Consider the following 19,049-nt stretch of genomic DNA (forward strand, 5'->3'; position numbering starts at 1 on the left):
AGTTCAAATCCATCCTTCATTACCTACTTGGCAACAATGGCCTTGAACCCTTTAAGTCTCTGTTCTTTGCAGCAAACACAATATTAAGCTTTGTCACTAGAGGGTGCTGGAGGAAGTGGTTTCTCTCCCTGCTTCCAGTTTACTTCTATATTGATTTTCTTGTTATTTGTTTTGGATGGCCGTCAGCAGCTAATTTGTGAGGGGAATACTCACAAATTGTGGTGCTCACAGACCCAGAATGTGAAGCCCCTTGGTAAGCTTGCGTCCCCAGTTTCAGCTCAGTGATCATCTTGCCATGGATCTCCCAATGTGGACACCATGCATCCCAGGTTCCACAGCACCCTGCTGTCGGGTAAGCTCCTGTGCACCTGCCAGGGCTCACTTCCTGCAGGGCTTATGCATTCTTAAGCATTGGACCCCTCTAGAATGCAGTTTCTCCAACGCCCCATTCCTACAGACGAAGGCTTCTCTATCCCTTGGTTCTTGTAGCATCTGGTGACCAACAGTGCCCAGCAGAAAACGGTTGCACCCAGCACTGACTCTGGCAACTCTGCAGCAAGGCTTGAGGGCAACACCTCCCTATGGATTGCTTTTCTGTACCCCAGAAGGCAGGTTTCCAGCAAGTCTCAGAAGTGAGGCACTTTGATGACTTTTCAATAATTCATAATCAGCCATGGGCATGCCCTCTCCAAGGGAGTCTGGATCTCAGCCTGAGGTGGGGTTAGAGGGCTCCTCCTTGACACTGTATCTCAGCCTTATGACAGCAGCTGATATTTATATATACTATTGCTGCATCCTATAGAATTCTTTGTACTTCTTACTAGCCAATTTTCTGTTACTTCAATCCACATTACAATGAATAATTCTTATATTAAACTCTCACTTTTCAAATTACTGTGAGGTTTCTGTCTCCTGAGTTGACCACAATTGATACACCATCTTTCAAGATGATGAAATCCAAGAGTAGCAGAGACAAAGCCAAGACCAAAACCAAGACCTTCTAAATCTAAAAATCCCATTTTTCCCACTGCACCAAGATACCCTTTCCAGGAATAAAAACTACTGGAGAAGAAGGGAAGAAACACCTAATATAATAAAATAACCTCAGTGTCATTTTATAGCAATCTCCTTCCAACTCATTTTCTTAGAGACTCAAAGACAAAAGCATCATATCATACTATGTACCAAACCAGGACTACCCATTACACAGAAATAGGTCTGCAGATCCTTTTAAGGAGCAAAAAGTGGAGACTGACAATATATCCAATTTTAATCATGTAGCAAATTTGGGAAGCCACCAGTAATACTAAACATAGATAGAACCGAACATAGGATACCAAATAAAACTCAACACAGGATACTGAGTAGATTAACATCCTAACTTTTGATGAAATAAACTATACAATTACAATGACCACAGTGTTATCAGGCATTCATGTTATGATTCATCCAAATAAACAAAACTGAACAAAAAGATGCTTTACTCTTTATAATCATCAAGAGTCATTCACTTAGTATAGAAAGAGAAGTTGGCACCTAATATTAGAATCTGAATAAAAATGTAACAGTTTCATGGATTAAGAATCCACAGTACCAATCTGGCCACCATCTTTGATCAATTTCTGATAGTGAAGAGATCATTTAGCCTCCGTATCTAATTGTCAAATTTAAAATAGAGTGGAAAATACCAAACTATGTGTCAATCCTATACTTATTTCAGTTGCCAGAACCCTTTTCCAAAGCATTTCCATTGGTTACAGCTTCCTGTATATGTTCAACACACCTCAGCACCTTTGTGTGACACTCATTTCCAATATCACCTCAGTCATGAAGCTTTGGCTAGTCTCCACTAACAAAATGAAAAGTGATTTCTCCAACACTGGAAGCCTCATAGAATGATCTGTGCTTCTCTTATCATGATCTGTGCTCTACTTTGTATGGTGACTACATATGTATCTTCCTTGGTCTCTTGGAGCTGTAAGTTACTCTGGGACAAGAATTACTTTATTGATATGATTTTTACCCAAAGTGTAAACACAATGGTTTCTGCATTGACAGTGCCCAATGATAGATATTTATCACTTCATAACAATTTCTCAGGTTAACTCAGTAGGTATAAAGAATGATCAGGAGTAGAATCCAAGTCTCCTGACTTTCCAACACTCTCTTTGTTCTATGCCATTGTAAGTATCAAGAGACAAGATTTAAAGACAGCTGAAAGAATGGGAGAACTGTGAGAATTACCAGTCTGACAGCATAAAATACATTGTTCTTGACAACAGGAAAATTGTAAAAGGCTTGCTATGGCCAAACCATGAGAACTGAAACCAGCCTACTGTACCAGGAACTTATTTGATGTCATTATGACTATTGAGCAGGAGGTTGCCATATTAAAAGATAAGTTTGTGATGATTAGTAGACCCTTAGGTATTTAATGGACTAAAGATAAGTCATGTTGAGGGTTTAGGAGATCACTAAAGTTAAAAAACTACTAAAAGTCCCAGACACAATGAATATGTCAAGACCTGGTAAATATCACATATATTTAGGATTTTGCACTTAACAGTTTTCTTCTTAACAATTTGTTTCTAAGATTCACCTATGTAGTAATGCATAGCTGTAGTTAATTTATTTCATGGCTGTATAATAGCCCATTGTGTGAATTTGCTAAAATTTATTTATGCATTCCGCTACTGACGGAACCTGGGTAAAGACTGGTGCTAGGCTAAACATTGCTGCTATAAACATTCTTACATGTGTCTCCTGGTGATGCGTAAAGAGTTTTAGCTAGAATGTTTGCCTTAAAGTAGAATAGATAATTATGGAGTATTCACATTTTCAGCATTAATAGATTTTTTTTTCTTTTCCTTGCCTGTTTGCTTTGGTAAGGATCGCCAGTGCAATATTGAATAGAAGTAATGAAAATGGATATCTTTGCCGTATTCCCAATTATAGCAGAAAAGCATCGATATTTAACCATTCACTTTGAGGTAAGCTATAGGTTTTTTTGGTACATATTTTCTATCAAATTGAGAAAGATCCTTATATTTCTCAGTTGCTAGGAGATTTTTTTGTGAATGGGTGTTTAATTTTGTTAAATGTTTTTATTCTGTATTTGTTGAGTTGACCATGTGAATTTTAACCTTTATTCTGTTAATATGCTGAATTGCATAGATTGGTGAGTTTTTAATGATAAACCAAACTTCTTTTCTAAGGACAAACTCCACTTAGCCATAATTTATTCTCCTTTTGATACATTAATGGATTTGATTTGTCAGTGTTTTATTATGGATTTTTTGTGGCTCTGTGTTACGTGCTATAGTCTCTACTAATTTTCTTAAGTATTTTTGTCAAGTTTTAGTAACAGGGTTCTATTGGTCTCATGATATGAGGCTGAAATTGCTTCCTCTTCTACTTCCTGAAAAATTACAGGTCATATTTGAAAGATAATTTTGTTGAGTTCAAAATTCTATTTTATGCTGCATTGGCCAACTCCAGGGAACACTACACAAACTAAATCCTATGTGAATCACACCCCTCTGGAGTTGTTCAGTGCACAGCCTATGTGGCTCCACTCAGCATCCTTGTCCGTGATTGTGTCAAAATGTGGACAGTATTGCTCCGGTCTTTCAGCTTCCATTTTTTAGAAGTCTTCTCTTTACCTAATTATTGTTCCCTTGCAGATGATCAGTCTTTTCTCTCTAGCTGCTCCTAAGATCTCTTTTTCTTTGGTGTTCTAAAACTTCACTATACTTTCTTTGACATTCAAATATTTTATTGTATATACATGCATATTTTTTATTAACCTACCTAATGTGCCTGTTTCTTTGTGTATCTATGATGCGTATCTTTCCATAATTCCAGACAATTTTCAGTTACTTGTTTTCTCAACTGCCTTTGTCCTTTCGTTCTGGGACTCCAGTTGGATCTAGCTTAGATATTTATTGTGTCCTCCATATCAGTTAACTTTTCTTTCATATTTTCTACCTTCCTTCTCTGCATTATTATGACCTGGGTAATCACTTCATATATGTCTCCCTTTTCATTTATTCTTTCTTTTAGCTGTGTCTGATATACTTCCAAACCATCTATTGGGTTTTTAATTTCAATTATATCTTTCACTTTTAAAAGTTGTATTTGATTCTTTTGGGAAACTAATTTGATCACATTTGAAAATCTTTTGTTCCTTCTATATCTAAACTTATAAATTTTACTTTTAAAATATTTTATACATAGCTCTGTATTATTCTGAAACTGACCATTCTAATATATGAAGTTCTTGGTTCTTGAAGGGTCATTAAGAATGCCCCCCCCTTTTTAAAAAAAAAATTTGGAGAGTTTGGTCACATTTAACTTCAAGGTCATATCTGATTCTATCTAATATCTTTACATTCTGAGGATCTATTTGTCTCCTAGGGAACTGAATTCCAAAATGGAAGTAAAAACACTTTAATTCTTTAAGGTATTATTAGAAAATGATTAACTATGTTTGCTTTCCTTCAGAGAATATTTGCATTTTTTTTGTCAGGATTTAGTACTGATCTGTGATCACTTTTGCTTGTTTTATTGGGGGATGAGGGGATGTCTCTTGCTTGGCTTGGGCTCAGCTCTCCTAGCATGAAGACCCATGGGATTAGTCTCCCAATTTCACGCTCATATTGATCTTTGCCTTGATCAGTTAGTTAGCAAAATCCATTTGTTTAAATCAAATTTAACTAATCTGGGTTTAAACTTTATTTCTCTATAAACTTGAAGTATTTTTAATAAGTATAATATCTATGTAAATAATACATATTTAGGACCAAAGATATTTCTTTCTCTCCATGCAATACTTTTGGTCTATTATTTCCTTTCTAATCAAAATTTGGCAAAAAGTTAAAGATGTATATCTACATTTCTCTCCTTTTTTTTTTGTTTTGTTTTTTGAGATGGAGTCTAGCTCTGTCGCCCAGGCTGCAGTGCAGTGACGCAATCTTGGCTCACTGCAGCCTCCACCTCCCAGGTTCAAGCGATTCTCCTGCCTCAGCCTCCTGAGTAGCTGGGACTATAGGTGCGTGCCACCATGCCTGGTTAATTTTTTTGTATTTTAGTAGAGATGGGGTCTCACCGTGTTAGCCAGAATGGTCTCAATCTCCTGACCTCGTGATCCACCCACCTCGGCCTCCCAAAGTGCTGGGATTTCAGGCATGAGCCACTGCGCCAGCCTACATCTCTCTTAACAAGAAAGGCCTGCATGTTCTATTTCCACAGTCCTTATCAAAAACACAAAGATTTTCCTGTTTCGTCAGCAGAATAAAATGAACATGGGGAGTGTCTGGTACAAATACAGTCTAGAAATGTTATGCACTCAAAAAGAGAGATACTTCTAAAATAAGGAAAAATAATTGAAAAGTACAAGGAGAAAAAAAAATTCAGGAATAAAAGGCTTACTTCATAAACCTAAAAAGGGCTTAAACCTTGTAGTCTGATAAACATGGTGCAAGGAGAGAAACACAGCAAGGTGTCAAAGGCATACTTCTCAGACTACATAGTTCCAGCCCTTTTCACACGGCAAAGAAAGTTTTAGAAAATGACAAAGGACACAAAACCATTAGCGATAATTTCACCAAAAATTTAAAATGATACTGATTGTTAATTACTACAGATCTGAGGAGAAAAAGGTGTCACACTAGAGAACAGGCCAGGTGACACATTCAGAAGATGTCTGGTACATAACCAGACAATCAATTGTGAGCTCAACAATAAGACGGACATTACAAGGCTCAACATCTATTCTGGATGTCTGTGGGCTTGGACATCTCAGTTTTTACAATATTTCCACTTTCTCTAATAATTATTTTAATTATTAATTTCAAATGGGGAGAATACTTTTTTAAAAAACTCCCCCAATTCTCAATGTATTTTCTCTTACTGGTGAGAAATTTACTTTTACTGAACTTCTAACATCAAAGCTAAGCCATAAGACTTATTGCTTGGAAAAGAGTGGGCAATTACTTCCTAAAATTAAAAGCCTATAGAGTTGGAAAGAAGAATAATATGATGTACAGAAAGTTTCCACCACATAAAATGCAGACATAGAAACTCTTTGGAGGAGAAATACTGTTTCGGAGAGGGGACAAGAAGAGGATCAAAAGCTCTCTGAGCCTCTTAGGTTTCTGATGACTCTGTCACTCTAGTTCTCAACTCAGATGGGGTGATGACAAGAAGATTGAAACTCTTGATCAGGAAGAAACTGAGAGTACAGAAGCCTTTGGACCCAAATCTTATGTGGAATTCTGGGAAGAGAAATAGTTGCAAGGAAACTCTGCATCAACATGGTGTACCTACAGCAGAATAGAAATGATAACATCATATATTTAGACAGAGAGATGGTCAGGGCTGGCCCCTTCTGCACACAGGATCTCTTTAATCTCTACACAGTTTATTGTGTTTATGGGATTAGATGCAATGATAACATTTTATAACTTTTTTATTTAACATTATATGCTAAATATAAACATACGTGTTGTTATAAACTTTTTATAACATTATCAATAACTGAATAATATTCCAATGATTTGCTCTAATGCACTTAGTCTTTACCATGCTTCTGCATATTTAGATGGCTTTAAGTTTCTATCATAAATAATTCTAAGATTTTCTGCAGAATATTAGTAGATGTAACTGAGAATATGTTCAGAATAACCACACGCCTCCATGATACCAAATGTCAACAGTTCCATTGGTCCCTCAAACACAATTCCACATACATGCATTAAAAATCATAAAGATGAAAACATACTTCACACAGTTCATGGGATGCTCAAGACAGAAGCAAAGTGGTTAATAAGTGGGGCCTTGCAGAGGTGGTCCCCTAAAGCCAGTAACTGGTCTTTTGGGTCCATAATATGTTATCAACTCAACCTGACTCACATTACCTAAACTCTGAAAAGATGATTGATACATTAGGTATCACTATTCTGGGTATATGACAAAATATGAGAGATGATAAAAACATGGTAATGTCTATTACATTTTCACAATTTATGAAGAATACAAGAGAAAATATTTGAAATGTAATTATGCTCTAAAATTCGAAATGTATTGTTATGTTTTAGACCTACACAGTTATCAAAAATTTCTTTCTACTTTCAGGATTATGTATAAAAGAAACTGGAAAACCAAATTTGTTATGCCACTGACCAAACTTGGAATTAAGAGGCAGAGGTCATCTGAGACTTAGAGATATCTTAGCCCAAAGCCTGCTGTCAAGCAGGCTAGAGAATGGAGTTTCATTGCAATTAGATAGTTTTGAATACCTCATTAAAAATACTTTCCAAAGATTAATCTTTTTTATTATAAATGTGATACAGGCTTATTGTAGAAAAAAATTGATGAATACATTTTTAAAATAAGTGAAATGATCTAATTTGATTCTTTAAGTTATTTTAAAATCTCATTTACCCCATAAATGTATACTCCTAATACGTATCCACAAAAATTTTTAAAAATAATTTAAAAGTTAAAAAAATGAAATGACTTAAATACCACCACCTAGAACATTTTATGTATGAACTCTTTGCAGATAAGGACTGCAAGGTAAGAATTACACCCTGCAGGGTTTAGCTATATAGATGTTTAGTAAATATCTTGGAGACTCAGTTCAACCATACTGCAGTGAATAGAGGTAGTACTATGAGAATGTATGATTCCTATACACTCAAAAGCTAGGCACTCTCTTCTAGATTATAACATAAATCCACACATGCAGTGATATGGTTTGGCTGTGTCCCTACCCAAATCTCATCTTGAATTATACTCCCATAATTCCCATGTGTTGTGGGAGGGACCCAGTGGGAAATAATTTGAATCATGGGGGCAGTTTCCCCCATACTGTTCCCGTGGTAGGGAATAAGTCTCATGAGATCTGTTGGTTTTATCAGGGGTTTCCGCTTTTGCATCTTCCCCATTTTCTCTTGCCACTGGCATGTAAGAAGTACCTTTCACCTCCCACCATGATTCTGAGGCCTCCCCAGCCATGTAGAACTGTAAGTCCAACTAAACCTCTTTTACTTCCCAGTCTCAGCTATGTCTTTATCAGCAGTGTGAAAATGTGCTAATACAGTAAATTGGTACCAGTAGAGTGGGGTGTTGCTGAAAAGATACCCAAAATGTGGAAGTGACTTTGGAACTGGGTAACAGGCAGAGGCTGGAACACTTTGTAGGGTTCAGAAGAAGACAGGAAAATGTGGAAAAGTTTGGAACCTCCTAGAGACTTGTTGAATGGTTTTGACTACAATGCTGATAGTGATATGAACAATAAGGTCCAGGCTGAGATGGTCTCAGATGGAGATGAGGAACTTGTTGGGAACTGGAACAAAGGTGACTCTTGCTACATTTTAGCAAAGAGACTGGTGGCATTTTGCCCCCATCCTAGAAATTTGTGGAACTTTGAACTTGAGAGAGATGATTTAGGTATCTGGCGGAAGAAATTTTTAAACAGCAAAAGCGTTCAAAAGGTGACTTGGGCACTGTTAAAAGCATTTCGTTTTAAAAGGGAAACAGCATAAAAGTCAGAAAATTTGCAGCTGACGATGCAATAGAAAATAAATACCCATTTTTGAGGAGAAATTCAAGCTGGCTGCAGAAATTTGAATAAGTAGCAAGGAGCCTAATGTTAATCCCCAAGACCATGGGGAAAATGTCTCCAGGCCACGTCACAGATCTTCACTGCAGCCCCTCTCATCACAGGCCTGGAGGCCAAGGAGAAAAAAGTGGTTTTGTGGGCTGGGCCCAGGGTCCCTGTGCTGTGTGCAGCTAGAGACTTGGTGCCCTCTGTCGCAGCCACTCCAACTGTGGCTAAAAGTGGCCAACATAAAGCTTGGGCTGTGGCTTCAGAGGGTGGAATCCCCAAGCCTTGGCAGCTTCCATGTGGTGTTGAGCCTGCAGGTGCACAGAAGTCAAGAACTGAGGTTTGGGAATCTCTGTCTAGATTTCAGAAGATGTATGGAAACGCCTGGATGCCCAGGCGAAAGTTTGCTGCAGAGGTGGGGCCCTCATGAAGAACCTCTGCTTGGGAAGTGCAGAAGGGAAATGTGGGGTCGGAGTCCCCACACAGAGTCCCTACTGGGGCACTGCCTAGTAGAGCTGTGAGAAGAGGGCCACCCTACTCCAGACCCCAGAATGGCAGATCTACCGACAGCTTGCACTGTGTGCCTGGAAAAGCTGCAGACACTCAATGCCAGCCCATGAAAGCAGCCAGGAAGGGGACTGTACCCTGCAAAGTCACAGGGGCAGAGCTGCCCAAGACCATGGAAACCCACCTCTTGCATCAGTGTGACCTGGATGTGAGACCTGGAGTCAAAGGAAATCAATTTGGAACTTTAAAATTTGCCTGCCTCACAGGTTTTTGGACTTGAATGGAGCCTGTAACCCCTTTGTTTTAGCCAATTTTTCCCATTTGGAATGGCTGTATTTACCCAATAACTGTACCCCCACTGTATCTAGGAAGGAACTAGCTTGCTTTTGATTTTACAGGCTCATAGGCAGAAGGGATTTGCCTTGTCTCAGATAAGACTTTGGACTGTGGACTTTTGGGTTAATGCTGAAATGAGTTAAGACTTTGAGGGACTGTTGGGAAGGCACAATTGGTTTTAAAATTTGAGGACATGAGATTTGGAGGGGCCAGGGGTGGAATGATATGGTTTCGCTGTGTCCCCACCCAAATCTCATCTTGAATTGTATCCCCACAATTCCCACGTGTTGTGGGAGGGATCCAGTGGGAGATAATTTGAATCATGGGGCAGTTTCTCCTATGCTGTTCTTGCAGTAGTGAATAAGTCTAACGAGATCTAATGGGTTTATCAGGGGTTTCTGCTTTTGCCTCTTCCTCATTTTCTCTTGCCACCACCATGTAAGAAGTGCCTTTCACCTCCCACCATGATTCTGAGGCCTCCCCAGCTATGTGTAACTGTGAGTCCAATTAAACCTCTTTTTCTTCCCAGTCTAGAGTATGTCTTTATCAGCAATGTGAAAACAGGCTAATACATGCAGAGACTTCATCTTGTCTATTTTTGTAACATAATTCCTAGAATTCCATAGCAATTCAGAATTAAATTATCAAATACTGGAGTTGCTCGATTTCACCAACTTAGTTAAGTTAGCAAACTTCTCATCAGATCTAAAAATTGAGCTTCAATTCTTGTTGTGAATGCTAAATAAAACGGCAACAAAATTTGGCATTTCCTACATCTGATTCTCTTTCATTTCAAAAGAATTGCCTGGTATTTAGGAGACATAAGTTGGTCAACTTAAATTGTTTAACTCGCATTTGTTATGATGCTACATTCAAAATGAAAGGATTTGGAAAATGCTGTGCAGTAACAACATTACAAAACTGTGAATCTTATTTGATTGCTTCCATGTCTATGGCTACATTCCCATGGGAACCAGACATTTTAATCTTTTTTGTCTTCAAAAACAAGGCATCATTCTGCATGAGCCTTGTCTTTGGGCACATTGCATACATTGATTCAAATATTAAAGTGGATTAATAATAGAATCAAATTTAGAATGGTTGCATGGTTTCCAGAAGGAAAAATAAAATAGTTTTGAAGATGTATGTGCTTTAATCTGACTGGTTAAAATATGGCATTGCTTATACTTGTACAACCTTTTAAGAAAAATTCTTAATAATCTGAAAAGAAATCTTTCCTGCATGTATGTTTAGTGTGTGTGTGTGTGTGTGTTTGTGTGTGTGCGTGTGTGTGTGAGAGGGAGAGAAGGAGACAGAAGGTGATTCAACATCCTTCAAAAAACCCTCATTGAGTACCTTTCATGTACTGAGAGACATGTTAGACTTTTAAGCTACAAAGATGATCTAGATCAATCTAGTCTTCGAGTCATGCAGGATGAACAGACATAAGTACATTTACGATATGGGGATAATGCAAATACTTACAAAGAAGAGTTGGTGGGTGAGAAGAAAGGTAACCAACTCTACCTTGTGGGAGGGGGGAGTTAGGGAACACTCTGTTGACTGTTAGGGACCTAATGAGAAAGACAAGCACAAGATCTCAGTCATAATAGGCAAAGAAAATGTAAAGCATGCTCCAACCTTTTCTTCCTTGCCTGAACTTCTTCCTTTTCCAAAAGACTCAGCTGAACTAACCACTTGGATCACACAAATTTTATTCCTACTCATGCTTAAGTTCGGGTAGGAAGAGGGAGTTTTTTCTAAATTCAGAAACCTGCCTGAGTTCTCTGTCTGAGCTTTGCCCACAGCCTCAGAGCGGAGCTAGAGGAATGGCAGCGAAGTTCAGGATGTCCACTGAAAAACAGTGGAATATAAGGCTCATGTATCAGGTCTCTGAGAATCAACTCTGAAACAAATGTCACATAAGTGCCTTTAAACCCGCAAGCAGAGTACACGTGCTCTGCAACCAGCAAGCACAGGCTACAGACGCTTTCCGAATCTCCCCTCTGTAGCTCCACACTCACCCCTTTACAAAACAAAAACAAACAACAACAGCAACAACAAATATATACATATACACACACACACACATATATTTATATATATATATATATATATATCCACTTTGCATTTACTTGCATTTAGATAGTGCCTTACAGTTGGAAACTTTTTTCTTATATATTATTTAATTTGCTACTTTCAAGAGCACTCTAAGCTGGTTAGGGCAAGAATCATGGGGCTTAGAGAGTTAAAATGAATTTCTCACAATCACTTTAACTGAACTGGAGCAAAAAGTTAAGCATTTTTAATTCCTATGTATTTCCTGCCATACGGTACTGCTAAGTGTTTGCACCTTTCTTTTTTATCCAGAGTACATATATTCATTAAGCATGTGGTATGGCTCACAGTTTGTGCTAAGTGATATGGGGGCCAGTTTTAAAATCTATAATCCATGATCTGTTTCAAGTAATGTTTACTCAATGTGATAACCTATATAACATACAGGACACATTTTTTCACAGGCTGAAGCTTATTCAGAAAATGCAATCATTTAACAATGGGATTTTTGTAAATGAACATTGTAAAACATTTATTTTTGAATAACAAATATACCTTGAATTACACTGGGAGGAACATGCTTAAAGACATGCCAAAAAAATGATCCACATGCACACCTCCAGCTCAAAACATTCAGGCTTGAGATCATCAAAAAGAAAGTTAAACAGAATCTTCATGGAACACATTTGCCTAATTTATAATGACAATTGAAAATATTGGCACTGTGATATCAAAAATGGTGAGCACTATAGAACATACCCAAATTAGGTTAAATACCCTAAAGTAAGAGAAGAGTACAAAATTCCTGTGAAGGATTAATAGTGACTGGAATTCCATCATATTTATAAGGTAAATTATAAACTAGTATCTATCAAATCCTAATCAGTATTTTTATCTGATGTGGTTTTTATTTCTTAATTTAAAGAAATTTTATGTTCTCATTCCTACAAGCTATATAACTGAGATTATAACTGAATTCACTTTTCAGTTATCTGACCCTAAACAGAAGTATGTGTGTAAGCAGAAGTGTGGGGAAGATGTTTTTTAAAAATCATTATTACTTGGCCAGGCACGGTGGCTCATACCTGTAATCCCAGCACTTTGTGAGGCCAAGGCAGGGGGATCATCTGAGGTCAGGAGTTTGAGACCAGTCTGGCCAACATGTTGAAACCCCGTCTCTACTAAAAATACAAAAAATTAGCCAGGCATGGTGGTGCGTGCCTGTAATTCCAGCTACTCGGGAGGCTGAGGCAGGAGAATCGCTTGAACCCGGGAGGTGGAGGTTGCAGTGAGCTGAGATCGCACCACGGCACTCCAGCCTGGGCAACAAGAGCGAAACTCTGTCACAAGAAAAAAAAAAACACACATTATTACTTAATGATTATTGGATGATAAGAAAATGAATCAAATAAAATATATGGCTTGTTTCATTTTGAAATTTAAAACATGTTTTTAAAACTCACTAGTAATAAAGAAATGTATATTAAAATAATAAAATTAACAAACACTGAAACTATTAAGAATTTCTAATGTCAATAAAACAGTGGGAGTATAAATTCTTCTGGACGGAGATTATTATGGTTTGAGTATACCCTCCAAAACTCATGTTGAAACTTAATCTTCAATGTGGCAGTATTGAGAGGTGAGGTCTTTAAATGGTGAGTGGGTCTTGAGGGCTCTGACTCATGAATGGATTAATCCATTCATGCATTTAATGGGTTATCATGGGAAGGAACTGGTGGCTCTACATGAAGAGGAAGAGAGATCTGAGTTAGTATGGCAGGATGCTCAGCCCCCTGGCCATGTGATACCCTTTGCCACCTCAAGACTCTGTAGAGAGTCCCTACCAGCAAGAAGGTCCTCAGCAAATATGCCCCCTCAATTTTGGACTTCTCAATCTCCATAAGTGTAAGAAATAAATTTATTTTCTTTATAAATTACCTGGTTTTAGGTATTCTGTTATAAACAACAGAAAATAGACTGACACAGAGTTATTGGCAAGTTAAGAACTCTCAGATAGTTAAGAAGGCATTACCAAGGTTCTTTAATATGACAGTTCACTGAGAGGACATTAGGTACAAATGCCCCTAACTTTTGATTTAAAAGCCTACAGTAGACTTAATACATTTTAAAAAGGACTTTATGTATAAAGTTTCATATGATAATGATATATATTAATTATACAAATAACTGATTTATAATGTAAGAAATTTAAATATGCAGCCATATAAGAGAAGCACTCTGTAGAAGCTACACAACTGTAATGGCTTACGAAAAGCTTTCAGGGATATTAAAAATATGATGTACGAAGAGTTTGTGGGGATATGAAACCATGCTCATGCTATTGTGTCAAGTGAAAAGAGCAAGCTGGAAAACTGTAGTTATAATAAATCCCCAGGTATAGAGGAGGGAAAATAATATCAAAGGCATTAGAAAGGAACAGACCAAGCTGTTCAAAGTTGTTACTTTAGGGTGATAGAAGATTTTGTTGTTGGCAGGGTGCGGTGGCTCATGCCTATAATCCCAGCACTTTGTGGGGCTGAGGCAGGTGGATCACTTGAGGCCAGAAGTTCGAGACCAGCCTGGACAACGTGGCAAAACCCCATTTCTACTAAAAATACAAAAAATTAGCCAGGTGTGGTGGCACATACCTGTAGTCCCAGCTGCTTGGGAGGCTGAGGCAGGAGAATCTCTTGAACCTGGGAGGCAGAGGTTGCAGTGAGCTGAGGTTGCACCAATGCACTCCAGCCTGGGTGACAGAGTGAGACTCTGTCTCAAAAAAAAAGTTGTTGTTGTCGTTGTTCAAAGGAATTATCAAAATATTATATAATAAAAGACATACCTTGTTTCCATCAACTGGTTATGGTTTTATCTTTTGGGGATGAACTCTTCAAGCTTACCTGGCCATTCCCAAAAGTTAACATCACATATCCTATGAGCTGCCAGTTGCACTTAACAGTCGTGCGTTTTGATTCCCAAAAACCACCCGACACCTTCCCAGCCCAGCACAGTGGCTGGCACCTAGATGGGTGCTTTCGGAACTCTGCTTCCAGAAGCTCTAGGCATGACAGGGAATCATGTGAAAGGATGATGGAAGAGTAAGAGCTTGTGGGTAGGATTTAGTCCCTTAACTCACTTAAATCAGAGTAGCTGGTATTCATCTGTTTTGTTCTTTTTTTAGGTTAGTTTCTGTTTTTGTTTTTTTAAATTAAGAACAAAGCTACCTGCAAAACAACATGCTTTATTATCGTCCATACTATGACTCCTGCCAGTGTTCCCAACCCAAACCCGGCTCACTGGTGAAGCTCTCCAACCTTGCCATACTACCCTCTTTTTTCTACTCCTACTCTTAGATCAGTGGTTCTACTCTTGACTACAAATTAGAGGCACGTGAGAAGTTTTTAAAACACACAATGCCTGGGTCCACCCTTAGAGATTCCAATTACACTGCTCAGGGTGGGGCCCAGGGATGAGTTTTGTTGTTGCTGCTGTTGCTGTTTTTAGTTTCAGTAGGTCTGGGGGGAACATGTGGTGTTTGGTTACATGGATAAGTTCTTTAGTGGTGATTTTGTGAGAATTTGGTGCACCCATCACCCAAGCGGTGTATACTGTACCCAGTGGGTAGTCTTGTATCCCTCACCCCCCTCCCACCCTTCCCCTTGAGCCTCCAAAGTCCGCTGTCTCATTCTTATGCCTTTACATCCGCATAGCTTAGTTCCCACTTCTAAGTGAGAACATAGGATGTTTGGTTTTCTATTCCGGAGTTACCTCACTTAGAATAGCGGTCTCCATCTCCATCCAAGTTGCTGTGAATGCCATTATTTCATTCCTTTTTAGGGCTGAGTAGTATTCCATGGTGTGTGTGTGTGTGTGTGTGTGTGTGTGTGTGTGTGTGTGTGTGTATGACATTTTCTTTATGCACTCATTGATTGATGGGCATTTGGGCTGGTTCCATATTTTTGCAATTGCTAATTGTAATGACATGCATGTGCAAGTCTCTTTTTCACATAATGACTTCTTTTCCTCTGAGTAGATACCTAGTAGCAGGATTGCTGGACCGAATGGCAGAAGTTTCCTTTGGGAGAAGGGGCTCTGCTTTACACAACTGGATTACAGCTTTTTCCTGTGGACTGGGGAAGGGTAGTGCAAGCCTGCCTGAATGTGTTAAAAACAGGTGTGGCAATAGAGACAGTAGGTGCAGACACACCTCTGAGAGGTCTGGCTGTTAAGAAGAAAAATGCCCTAGAGCTGAATGAGCAAAGCTAAAGCATCAAGTGGAGGAGAAGTTCCTATCTCATTGTGATCTGATTTTAATGAGAAAAGGCCCCCAAATATCCCGTGCTTTCTTATTACAGATCATGTATGTTTTAATTAATATAACACAGTACAACTTCAATTTAACATTATATAATGATATTTCTGTGGGTGTATAATAATGTAAATTCCTCACTGGCATCTAAATTGGGGCAGATTAAATCCCAATTATTTGTTAAAAACTTATAGAAGAATTTTTACCTTGCAGAACTTTTTCTTAAGTTAAATGCAAATTAGCTGGTTAATAAGGCAATATAAAACTTCTCTATGTTTGAGTCCACTGAAGACTTAACTTTTCAAAGAAATAGCCTGGCAACAGTGAAATATTTAAATTTCTTCCAAAAATCCCAAATTCCGAAACACCGTCTAAAAATATACAATCAGGTAAAAGTTGAGAATTAACATATGGATATAAGGTGAATACATGAATTTTTAAAACCATATTGATAAAAATAAACCCAAGACTTGCCCTACACTCAGAATCTGTAGAAATTATCTTGACTGTGCAGAAAAAAGTTAAGAAAGTGGAACTGAGGCTGCTGTCTCTAGAGTGTCTGTCTTGAAAGGTTGGCCCTGGGCTGGCGTCTGGAAACTTGGTCGATGGAGAGTTCCCTCCATTCTCTCTCTGATAAAGATGGTTTGCTGTGCACAGACTGTCTATACAAACAATGCGATTTATGCTGAATAGCTACTTTTCTTAAATTTTGATAGCTGCTAGGCAGAGGGTGCCTACGTGACTGTCGCCCTCCCCGACCCCCACTCCCAAGTCAGGTAATTTCCTTGCATGCTCTGTCTCTAATGAGCTTCCTGGGAAGAAACATTGTATACATGTTACTGCGTTTTTTTGCTGCTGAAGAAAAGAGCACCCTCAGTGCTCCCTCAGAGGAGACAGAAAACATCAGAAGCCTCCGCATGAATCTCTACAGTCTCTGAGTATCTTTTCCCCTATTGATCCTGTTATATTTCCTTTCCCTGCAATAAACTTCAGTGGATAGTGCAACTATGCTTATGCATTGCTTAATGACTGGAAGATGCATCATCAGGCGATCGCTACTGTGAGCATTGTGCGATCACCACGGAGCATACGTACACAAACCTAGATGGTGCAGCCTCCTACATACCTAGGCTATGTGGCATAGCCTACTGCTTCTAGGCTACCAACCTGTACGGCATGCTACTGCACTTAACACCACAGCTGATTGTAACAGCAGTAAGTATTAGTGTATCTAAACATATCTAAACACAGAAAACATACGGTAAAAATAAGGTATTATAACATTATAGGATTACCATCATACAGGCAAGTCTCTTGTTGACTGTAATGCTGTTATGTCATTCACATGACGATATCTACTAAATCCTGTGAGTATTTCCAGCAAATCACAGAATGTATGCGTGGTCTTCGAGATCCTCAGGAAAGCACTTAAACACACACACACGCACTCAGAGACAAAATTAAACATGTAATAAATTCACACATATGCAGTGGCTGGCACCGAGCACAACAGGTATATACCTCTCAAATGTATTTGCTGTTTGCATTTACCAAAGGGTCCCTCCTCAGCAGAAGACGAAAGGGGTTCCTGAGAGCTCTCCATATCATTAACAAATTTCTTTGTCTCATCTCAATTTACTCCATAATTATAAAAAAGTAATAAGCATACTTATTGTGCTTGCAGGTTACCACCAATTTTACCTTAATTTTCTTAGTTAATGTTGGCAAATTTCCTGTGAGGAAGCTATTCACTAGCATAGATGAGGAAATGGGGGACAAGAGAAAGAAGGTCAGGGGTCTGATCAAGGTTAAATTACTTCACACTCACAGGGTATGGAAGAGTTGAAATCAGACCCAGTTATTAAAATCCAGAGCCCCTGGCTTCTCCTCATTATAACTAGTTCCCTCAAATGTGGTTTGTAGACAGACATTTATACCAGCAAAGAAGTTGCATTAGCCCTCAGCGAAATGAGAAAAAAAAGTAATATAATATCGCCACATATTTTTAGCTATGTTCTGCCTTTTTTTAGGGTTAAAATATCCATTTTGTTGGAAGATGATACAAACAATAGATAATGGCTCTTCTTATTTATAATTTTTAGGTTTTTTCTTAATTGTTTGTAACATCTGCATAGAGTAAATTTAAAAGAAGACGAATCTAGAGAGGCCCTGTGCAAAAGGTTTTAGAATTTTTTCAGTTATTCAAATTTTGTAGTATTCGAATCTTTTTCCTATCATCATATATGTCGGAAAATTAATTTCAACTGCATGGGCCTGGGTTCTGCTCCTAATTCTCCCACTGATCAGTAAGTAGCACAAGGCAGTTCACTCTCCCTCTATGGGCATCAGTTTCCTTATTAACAAAGGGATCGGCTTAGGTGAATTCTGAGGGATCTCCCACCTCCTTAGAGGTCTATGATTCTGTAAATTCCTGAATCTGTTTACTCTTTTGTTAGTTTCCCAGCCTTACAGTACCTAGAATTGGCCAGATGATGGCAGCAGAGTTCTACTTTAGCCAGACTGTGCGCCGAACAGGTGAGCGGGACGCCTAGAGCACTGTGCTGAAGAGGAAAACGTGGAAGGTTATATGGAATTACCATAATTAAGAAAGAAATATTCACAGGTTGGCTGCCTCTGACATGCTATGTCAAGAAACACAGCTACACTTACAGAGAGGAAGGTCTCTGTTTGTCTTTTAAAAGAGGACTACATGATTGTGAATTCCTAGCAATAGAAGATTCAGGCCCGTTTTAAAGATAAAAATACTAGGCACATGAAGAACCACTGAATGCCCAATGCCTCCCTGCTAGGAAATGGCAGAGCTCAAACTTAAAGACAGGTCTTCTGACTCCCAGGTCAATGTCCTACACTTAACATGTAGCAAAGCTGTCTCAGAGAACACATTTGCTTTGACATCTAGAAGAGGCTCTAAAAGAAGTCTTCAGCGGCAGGCACCGAGCACAACAGGCCATATACATCTCAAATGTCTTTGCTATTTGCATTTACTAAAGTTCCCCTCCTCGGCAGAGGATGAAAGGGCGTGGACCTTGGACCAGGGTTCACCAAGGACACCAATTTCCATGGTACACTCCCGACAGTGGGGAAGTCCTGACACGGAAATTCAAACAGCCCCCTTTTGCATGAATACATAAGAGACATGGAGTTCTATGACTAAAGAGTGGGTTTCCTGTCTGATGGTTTCAATGACAATCTTTTTGGAAAAATTGA

At 38.6% G+C, this 19,049-nt stretch overlaps 1 protein-coding gene across 4 annotated transcripts in view, besides 1 other annotated feature; it reads right to left on the bottom strand.

Annotated features, from left to right (window-relative positions):
* Nucleotides 1-19,049, bottom strand: part of FGF12 (fibroblast growth factor 12) — a 588,152-nt gene that overhangs the window by 309,742 nt on the left and 259,361 nt on the right. The window lies entirely within an intron of this gene.
* Nucleotides 18,169-18,463: a silencer, noted in NCBI's record as "tiled region #7499; K562 Repressive DNase unmatched - State 12:CtcfO". NCBI's record gives its function as "represses a minimal TATA promoter and a strong SV40 promoter by Sharpr-MPRA in K562 cells {active_cell/tissue: K562}" and the evidence as "EXISTENCE:reporter gene assay evidence [ECO:0000049][PMID:27701403]".

Source organism: Homo sapiens, chromosome 3, assembly GCF_000001405.40.
Source record: "Homo sapiens chromosome 3, GRCh38.p14 Primary Assembly".
Classification (NCBI taxonomy): domain Eukaryota; kingdom Metazoa; phylum Chordata; class Mammalia; order Primates; family Hominidae; genus Homo; species Homo sapiens.